At 42.9% G+C, this 9855-nt stretch overlaps 1 protein-coding gene across 5 annotated transcripts in view; it reads right to left on the bottom strand.

Annotated features, from left to right (window-relative positions):
• The window catches only part of GIGYF2 (GRB10 interacting GYF protein 2), a 163275-nt gene continuing 158344 nt past the window's right edge, over window positions 4925-9855 (bottom strand). For 4 of the 5 annotated variants that reach the window (NR_103492.1, NM_015575.4, NM_001103147.2 and 1 more), the window contains one exon: window positions 4953-8737. Coding sequence is in view for 4 of the 5 variants with exons in the window: in NM_015575.4 (NP_056390.2) it covers window positions 8670-8737 (68 nt within the window). In the remaining variant the exon portion in view is untranslated. Of the gene's footprint in view, window positions 8738-9855 lie in introns of all 5 variants that reach the window. The other variant, NM_001103146.3, reaches the window with a different exon arrangement.

Below are 9855 nucleotides of genomic sequence, written 5' to 3'. Positions count from 1 at the left end.
TCCTTATAGTAGAAGGTTGACTAATCAATGTAAAAGTAATGCTTGCAAGCACCTTGGTAAATGTTCAATTAAGAATCATCAATGGATAAAAGTTTGATGAAGAAATGTAGTTTCAACAGTGTCTCCCATAAAGACAAACATCGTTACTTTACAGTAGAGACATCTGGCAGACACCACCTAAACTAAGTAAACATCACCAGTATGGCTCAAATGGACTTCATATGTCTCCTGATGTGATGAACTAAGGACATAACATCACTCTGTAGTATTCCTGTCAAAATTGCATAATCACAAGCAAATCATGAGAAAATATCAGACAAATCCAAATGGAGGACATTCTAAAAAACAATTGCCCTCCACTCTAAAAAAAATGTTAAGGTGCAAAAGATTAAGACAGACTGAGGACCTGTTCCAGATTAAAGGAGACTCAAAAACATGACAACTAAACACAAAAAGTGATCATGAATGACATCCGGTGCCTTTTTGCTTTTATTAAAAATATTAGTGGCCTGGGTGCAGTGGCTCATGCCTATAATCCCAACACTTTGGGAGGCCAAGGTGTGAGAACTGCTTGAGGCCAGGAATTCGAGACCAACCTGGGCAACATGGTGAGACTCTGTCCCTACCAAAAATAGTAATAATTAGTTGGGTATGGTGGCATGTGCCCATAGTCCCAACTACTCAAGAGGCTGAGGCGAGGATGGCTGGAGCCCAGGAGTTCAAGGCTGCAATAAGCTATGATCAGGCCACTGCACTCCAGCTTGGGTGACAGATTGAGACCTTGTTTAAAAAAAAAATAATTAGTGGAACCATTGATGAAATATGAATGAAGCTTGGCTATTAACAGTATTGTATTGTTAATTTCCTAATTTTGATAACTGTATTGTGGTATATGGGAGCATGTCCTCATTTTGAGGAAACACACCAGGGTTCAGGAAAAAGGGACATGATGTATGCAACTTAGTCACAAATGGTTTACATTAAAAAAAAACTTATCATGAGATTATAGTTATTGAGAGAAAATAAAGCAGGTATGGTCCAATGTTAACTAAAGAACTTGGGTGAAGGTTATGTGCAAGTCCTTTGTACTGTTCTTGCAACTTAAAGTCAAATTATTTCAAAATAAAAGTAACCCTCCCCACCAAAAATCACAAATTTTCAACTAATTATATATCTAGGCAATTGTCATCAAGGAATGTTAAAACTGCTACATGTAAGAGCAAGAGGACTTTTATAATGGATGAATCAACCTGATAGCAACAGAACTGATGAATTGTGACATCAGTGAAACTGGAACAACCAGACAATACAGTGTGACTGTGATACAGCGGGAAGGACACCATGCCACCAGCAAAGGATTCCTGTGAGGGGTGGGGAAGGGAGAACCTGGTTTTAGTCAAGCCTGTAGATCTAATTCACAGAAAACATGGCGAGGTGGGGGGGGGATGAAGAAATTGACACCATTAAGACACTTCTTGCTAAATCCAGAGAATGTGGAATGTTCCATCAATAAATGATACAGTTTTTCAACTTTTTCTCTTTTTTGTAGGGAGAACTGTTAAGACTAAAGGAGACTTAAAGCATATCAACCAAATGCAATGAACATTGTTTTGATTTTCAAACTTTGTAAAAAGACACCTTTGAGACAATCTGAGAAAGTCATCTATGGACCTGATGTGTTGTTAATGTGACAAGGCATTGTGGGTTTTTCTTTTTCTAAGATGTCCTCTTTTATCATATATATTAAAATATTTATGAGTGACGTCATATCTAGGATTTGGTTTAAAATATTCTAAGAGAACAAAGTGGGATAAATACAACAAAATGGGCAAAATGTCAATAATTGTTGAAGCCAGGTTATATTAGGTAGGAGTCTGTTACATTAGTCTACTTCTATGTATGTTTGATTCTTTTTTATTTTTATTTTTATTATTTATTTATTTATTTATTTTAGCTTTCACATTTTCCATCACTCCCTAGAACATTTTCATTAAAAAGAAAAACTGGCCTTGGGAAAAAACTAATTGAAGATGACCACAACCCAGGGACCTCAGGACTGCTAATGACTCAGAGCGCTCACAAATGAAGGTTCAGGCCACCCAACAGATGAGGGGCTGGCAAAGGGGGAGTGGAACTTAGTAAAGGCTTTAAGCCAACACCCTCCACAACCAGGGACAGAAACAAGAACCGTGGCAGCGATGTGCATTTTATTCCTTCTTATATATACATACACGTTTGCAGATACGAACCAACTTTTCTCTACTTTCCCCTACTAATTTACATAAATACAATGTATTCCTTAAGATATCTAATAGTTAGGTGAGACTGAACTTGAAGTTAGTATCACCTAAAAATGGACTTAACAACTGATAGATGGGACGAGGGGACACAGTGTTAGTGGTTTCCCTACAGTTATTAACTAACCTTTCAGTAACTTTCCCCCATGTTGCTCCCAACACTTCAAACACCAATTCTTTTTCTTTTTCACGTTCATCTAGGGTGGTTTCTGTTTCACAACAGGACCCCGACCTGCTTAAGGCTCCATTTCATGTTACCAAAGTCAGAAAATCCAGGCAGATGACTGTCCCCCTAAGCAAGGCACACCAAGCTTGCCTTTCAACTTGGGTCTCCTTCAGTAAAGCTGCAAAGAGTTACTCGTCACACACCATCAAGAAGCCAAATGTCAGCAGTTTACTGCAGCACACATGCCTCACACTCACACACATACACTAGGCCGCTGGAGCTGAAATCTCAGAGCTAGGCTAGGCTGGTGGGTCCCCACTGAGGCTGTCCATTAAGAACTCTGGGGAATTTGAAAATAATTTCCAATGCACGGTCCCACCCCAGATTACAGACTCTGGGACATGGAGCTAAGGGATTGATTTTTGTTCCAAGTTCTTTAGGTGATCTGGGCCAACCACCTCATCTAACAGACAATGAAACTGAGGACCAGAGACATGACAGAAAAAACTGGTTAATAATAATGAGGCTAGTACTTACGTGCAGCCTCCTGAAACCCATACCACATTGCCTAAGGGTTACTTCTTTGCACTAATTATAAGACATCTAAGAAGGTGTTTACTCTGATTTCATATGCTCTACTGCATCTACGTATGTGCCCACGAATGCCCTTCTCACTTGCAAAATGGCCTAGAAGTAGTATTTGTCGCCGGGCCTGGTGGCTCATGCCTGTAATCCCAGCACTCTGGGAGGACAAAGCAGGCATATCACCTGAGGTTGGGAGTTCAAGACCAGCCTGGCCAACATGGTGAAACACCGTCTCTACTAAAAATACAAAAATTAGCCGGGCGTGGTGGCACATGCCTGTAATCCCAGCTACTCATGAGGCTGAGGCAGGAGAATGGCTTGAACCCGGGAGGCGGAGGTTGCAGTGAGCCGAGATCGTGCCAGTGCACTCCAGCCTGGGCGACAGAGCAAAACTCTGTCTCAAAACAAAACAAAAAACACAACAAAATAACAAACCCCAGATTCTATGTAGAATTAGGAAATAAAATACACAGTAAGGCTGGGTCACTGACACCTGCTCTGGGTCCCTAGCTCTGCACAGCAACAGAAACCAGAGCTTGCTGAGTCCCCCCATTGGGAAAGCCTGAGATCCTCAGTCCACAGGCAAAACTAGGGTACCCACGAGGACTCTTTTCCCATGATCAGTGTGCACAAACCATCCCACGTTTCCCACTTTAAAACAGAAGACTGCAGAGGATGTGGTAGAGACTGCAACTGCCAATGTAGCATCCGTTTTCCCAATTTCTCAGTAACAGGATCCCAATGACATTTGGGGATGATAGCACTCAACTAAAATCCCAAAGCTTCCACAACTAACTGTAGTTATGTATCTACATTCTGGCTGGTAAGACTTAAGATGTTGGATAGCGCTCCCCAAAAAGCTCCTTAAACAGGGCTGAGTAGGAAGGTGTGCTGTTTGCCTCACCCCACTCCTTCCTCCTGCCTGGAATATAGGCATGATGGCTGGTGCTGTAACAGTCACCTTGGATCACGAGTCAGAAGAAAGCCACAATCAGGATGCTGAAACAGAATCTGGGTCCGTGGGCCACCCCACAAGCTTTGGACCTACGACCTATTTCACTTGAAAATAAGTGATTTTATTGTCACTGTTGACTTTGTATTTTGTCAGATGCAACCAAACCCAATACCGACCCACTGACCATTCCCAGGAGCATTTCTCATGCTAAAGGAGAAATTCAAATAAAAAGGCAATTTGCTGCCAAGGGAAACTAACCTTCCACTCCTACAATTGGGGGACAAGTAAACAGTCTTTAAGAGGTGATGTCTCTGCTTGTTATATCAGCTGGATTGAACCAAGTGTGGAGGTGATCATGAATTCCATCCCCATGATGTCATCGCTTTGGCAGCAATGAAAGGGAACGCAATGACAACTTTTAGGTCGAAGATCAGCTGTTAGGTAAAGAGCCCACTTCTTCCTTGCCAGCATCTATATGCTGTTTCTCCCATGTGGTGCCCCACTGCTATGGTTGACACTTTTGTTGCAAAACATTCCCACTGATTAATTCTTTGGAGGGAAACTGTCCTCTTGAAGGTTTTAGGTTCCCAGTCCAAAACCAGCACTACCAAAAGCTATACGTGTCCATCGTTCTCAGGCAACACCTGCAAATAACTATCACGCATCTGGCTGCTTCAAGGTTCCCAGACTCTCCAGAGTCTTAGAAAGCATTGCAGCTTCCTCACCAGAGACTGAACTCACGCAGGACCAAAGGCACCCTTCATAGCTGGGCTTTTGTTGTTCTAAGAAACTCATTAACTATAAGGCCAACTTCCATTTGGAATGTGCTCTGATTGTACTTTACTCTCTGTAGAATGCGCTTGCCTGCTACTCTGTTGAAAATGATCTACGTCACATATTGGAAGGACAGTACAGAATATGTTCATTTCAAAGAATCACTTCTGTTTAATTAGAGTCATTCACATACTTTTATTAATAATGCACAGTTGGGCATTTTATACAAAATTACCAATTTTGTTATCAGTCAATTTTAAAGTAGGGTGCAATATATATACGTATATAACATATATGTATATATTATATATATATTGAAAATGTAAAACATATACTTTTATATACATATTTGTATATATAAAAATATATGCATGTATAAATACAATGGTTTCCCTAAAAAAATTATTTAAATAAAGCCAGAAGTACCATTATCTATCCTAAAATTTAAAAAAAACAAGCTGGGTGCACTGGCACATAGCTGTAGTCCCAGCTACTTGGGAGGCTGAGGCAACAGGATCACTTGAGCCCAGGGGTTTGAGACCAGCCTGGGCAACATAGTAAGAACCCATCTCCAATACAAAAACAAAAACAAAAACCCTCAACTTAAAGCCAATGAAAATAAAGTCCTTCATGTATGCATAAACTCATTTTATGCAGATATTTCCCAAAAATGGCTATAATATCTCCCACCCCACAAGCTCTTCTCCAATGTGACCTTGTCACTCCTTTCATCAAGGCGGGGGGGGAGGGGGTTGCAGGGAGAGGGCCATGCTCCCTTCTCTTGAATCTGAGTGGGTTTGTGACTACTTTGATGCAACACAGTGTCACAGAAGTGACTCTATGTGACTCCTGAGCTAAGAGCTCAAAAAGGTAACACAGCTTCTGCCTGGTTCTCTGGGGGAAGCCAATCACCACTTAAGTTCAACTCCTCTGAAGCTGCCATTCCGGAGACGACACACATAAGCTCCTCCAGTCATCAACCCAGCTGAGTTCCCAGCCTACAGCCAACGTCAACTGTCATTACACGAGTGAGCCATCTTGGACAGCTTGCCTAATTCATTAAGCCTTCATAGGAATGATGCCCTGGAAGACATCTGACCACAACCAAAGAATACCCCAGGAGAACCACCACCCAGCTGAGCCCTATCCAAATTCCTGACCCACAGAATGAAGTAGCTGTTGTAAGCCAATCTGGAGGGAATCTGTTATGCACAGCAGCCACCAGCACACCAATCTGCTTGGGGACAGTCTCCATAATCAAACTGTCTTGTCTGGGATGTTTTTAAATCTCTGAATTTAAACAAATCAACCAACAAAACTGGAGCTGGGCATGGTGGCACACACCTGTAGTCCTAGATATTTAGGAGGCTGAGGCGGGAGGATCACTTGAGCCCAGGGGCTCGAGACCAGTGTGGGCAACATCACAAGACCCTATCTCCAAAAAAGCCAACCAAACAAAAAACCGGAAGCAGAGAGGGTACAAAACAAATACTTCAAAACTCAGGAATAGTTAGGAGAATTTGGAAATAAGTTCATAGAATGGGATGAGAAAACGGTGGCTCTAAGTGAAAGGGTGAGCAAATGAGAATATGAAAGAGAGTAGCATTGAGAGAGACAGAAACAAACATTCCCAGGGAAGAGTGTTTCTTTCTACTAAGTGGGAAATTCCTCAGATAGAAGCAAGTCTCCTTGGTTAAGCAAATGGATGTTCCATGACCAAAATGACTTTGTTCCCCCTAATCTGCCCATTCCACTCCCAATTTTTAAAAATTTATTTTCATTTTTCCTGAATACACACACAGAGTCTAGTTGGGAAGGTGTGGGCAAGCTCTGGAGGGGTGTGTTCAGAGTGGGTGTGTCTGCGGTATGAGGGCAGGAGCTGATCCACATGTTAGCAGAAAGGGAGAGTCAAAAAGAGAAAAGATATTTGGTCAAACTTACCGACATCTGCCTTGACCTCTACATTCTCAAATACAGAACCAGCCAGTGCTACGTGGTCTGGCAGAGAAAGAAGCCATGGCTGCCTCCATGTCTTGGGTGCTTGGAGCTTTTCCATGGTACCAAGAGGAACAGTTTAGTGCAGAACTCAGCCTCCATAAAGGTGAGTACAAGAGGTGCACTCAGATAGAATACAATCAGATTTTATTTAAGTTCTTTTTTATTTTCCTCCACACTGGCAAAAGTTCCGAGGGAGCCTAAAGTTTTGTAAACATTTTAACTATCCCTCTTACCCACCCCCAACTTTTGAATTTACAAAGCAAAGGAGAGTAGGAGCCCCAACTTTTAATGGTTTCCTCTCCCCTCATGCTATTTGATCCAAAAACTATATACAATTTTGTAGCAGTCTCTGTATAGTTATTACACATGTTTAGAAGGGAGGGAGGCAAGAAGGGATAGGGAGAATGGTGATCCAAAATAATAAAAATAGAAGCCAAATATAATACTCCAAACCCAAACTGCTCTCAGAGCAACTCCAGCCTTCTTCAGGCAACAATGACAGGCAGCAAAGGTGCTTTTCCAGGGGCTGCCCAGACCACAGCACCTCTCGCACAGGCACAGCTGCCCAATGACTCCAACCCAGTGTGAGTGGCAATTCCAGGTGATGTTCTGTAGGGGTTTGGTGGAGGCAGGAAAAGTATTTGTTTATAAATAGGGCTTGAGTACATTTCTACTTGAAGTTTAAGGTTTTAGGAGGCCATGACCAGAAGCCAGGCCAGGCTTCCTGCTCCCATTTTCGCCCATCCCCTCCAGCCCACTGCATCCTCCTGTATAGTAGATTCCATGGATGAAGGTCTTAAAGATGGACAGGTTCTGTATGTTCTCTTTTCAGAAAAGGCAAACAACTTGCCATCCCAGAATCTTTACACAAAACCTTTTCCGGGCTACAGCAAGACACACACGCAATGCTCTGAGGACCAGATGAAATTCCAGGCTTTTATCAGAAGCAAAAGTTTATCCCTATCCAAAAATGAAATTATACAAATTCATACATATGGTAAAGATTCTAGCTGCCTCTTAAACGAGACAAATTTTCAGCAGAAGGGCCCAAAACAAAATGGTCCTAGTCCTCTGAAGTAAAAATATTTATGGGAAAAATCAGTTTTTGTAAGAAAGAAAAATTAAGAATAGTCTCTCTCCCAGGCCATAGAGCTTCCTTTGTCCAATCAGGTTGGAGCATGCCAGGGGAGATCAGCTTGCTCAGAAGTCACTATCTAACGAAGAAAAACATAAATCCTTTCAGAGAAAGGACACTCAGAAAGAACAGGTGAGGAGTGTGTAACATCAAACCAAACCAACCTCATCTCAACCCCACTCAGGGCCTCTCTGATGCAATCCCAAAGTTAGCAGTGGCAATGCAACTTTCAGACCGGGAGAGCTCTGACTGCCTGTTGGATACTCGAGTCACAGTCCATGGGGTGTTTTGTTATTGGCCAATGTCTGTTAACCATTAACTCTCTTCATGATTGCACCAGTTAGACCATTTGCCCTGATGGGGGGAAAAAGAAGAAGAAAAAACAAAATAGAAGAAAAAAAGTGACAAGAGAAAGCAAGCTGCTAATGGCCGATCCCAACACACTTTCTGGGAGACAGTAGATGAAATCACAGCACAGTGAACACATGCTGCCTAAAATCAGCCTTGTTGGGGAGTAATCCCAACTGCCACCCCCAAGACACAGGGTCCAGTCCACTTATCTATAGTCTGAGATGTTCACCAACAAAAATGGATTAAAGAATCTTGGACACAAAGGGCCAGAAGAAAAAGCCTGAGATGATCGGTTCTGTGATTTGTTGCAGAGTGATAAAGAGTAAATGGTGAGTAAGTGTTGTGTCCAAAGGTGGAGACTCCATAGTCGGCAGACAGGAGAGGGATGGCCAGTCCACTGGCAGGTGCTCAGTAGTCATCCAACGTCTCGATTTCACCCATGTTGAGTCGCTCCGATGATGCATTGACTGAAAATCCTGCAGAAAAAAAACTGGCTATGAGTGACCACACCCAGGCAACCAAGCGGCTCAAATTCTAGGCGGTGAGCTGGAATGTAAGTCTGTGTTTGTTTGTTTGTGAGACAGGGTTTCACTCTGTCACCCAGGCTGGAGTGCAGTGGCGTGATCTCGGCTCACAGCAAGCTCCACCTCCTGGGTTCAAGAGATTCTCATGCCGTAGACTCCCAAGTAGCTGGATTACAGACACATGCCACCATGCCCGTCTCATTTTTTTTGTATTTTTAGTAGAGATAGGGTTTCACCATGTTGGCCAGTCTGGTCTTGAACTCCTGACCTCAAATGATCCGCCCGCCTCGGCCTCCCAAATTGCTGGGATTACAGGCGTCAGCCAACGTGCCTGGCCAGTCTTTTGTTTTTGAGCATACCATAGAAGTATTACAGGGAGACAAAGATAAAGGTCACAGCAGTAGCTTTCTGTTCTTCCAATGAGAGAGATTTTTTATTTTCTTAAGGTTCTGATATAACCTAATTAGGAAGGAAAATAAAACAAAATAGCATCACCAATTAAAAAGAACTGCAGGCCGGGTGTGGTGGCTCATGCCTTAATCTCAGCACTTTGGGAGGCCAAGGCAGGCGGATCATGAGGTCAGGATATCGAGACCATCCTGGCTAACATAGTGAAACCTCGTCTCTACTAAAAATACAAAAAAACATTAGCTAGGTGTGGTGGTGGGCACCTGTAGTCCCAGCTACTCGGGAGGCTGAGGCAGAAGAATTGCTTGAACCTGGTCGAAGGAGCTTGCAGTGAGCCGAGATCGCGCCACTGCACTCCAGCCTGGGTGACAGAGCGAGACTCTGTCTCAAAAAAAAAACAAAACAAAAAAACCCCCTGCAAACCACTGCTTCAGAGAATCAGAGAAAAGAATGGGATGTGAGTGTGTATCAAGGACAGGCTGGGCTGGCCCTGGAGGAAAGTTCATGCAGGAGGTCTACCTTAAAAGAGATGGGGGTGGGCAGGGGGGTTACCATGGAGGGTTGTATACACTAAGTTCTTTGTAACTACTTGACCACATAACTTTGAAATCTGAGTGGGATTAATACCCCTTTAAACCTCAACCCACTTTAATGGGAATACT

This window comes from Homo sapiens, chromosome 2, assembly GCF_000001405.40.
Source record: "Homo sapiens chromosome 2, GRCh38.p14 Primary Assembly".
NCBI classification, from domain to species: domain Eukaryota; kingdom Metazoa; phylum Chordata; class Mammalia; order Primates; family Hominidae; genus Homo; species Homo sapiens.
This window is presented reverse-complemented; position numbering and strand designations above follow the sequence as displayed.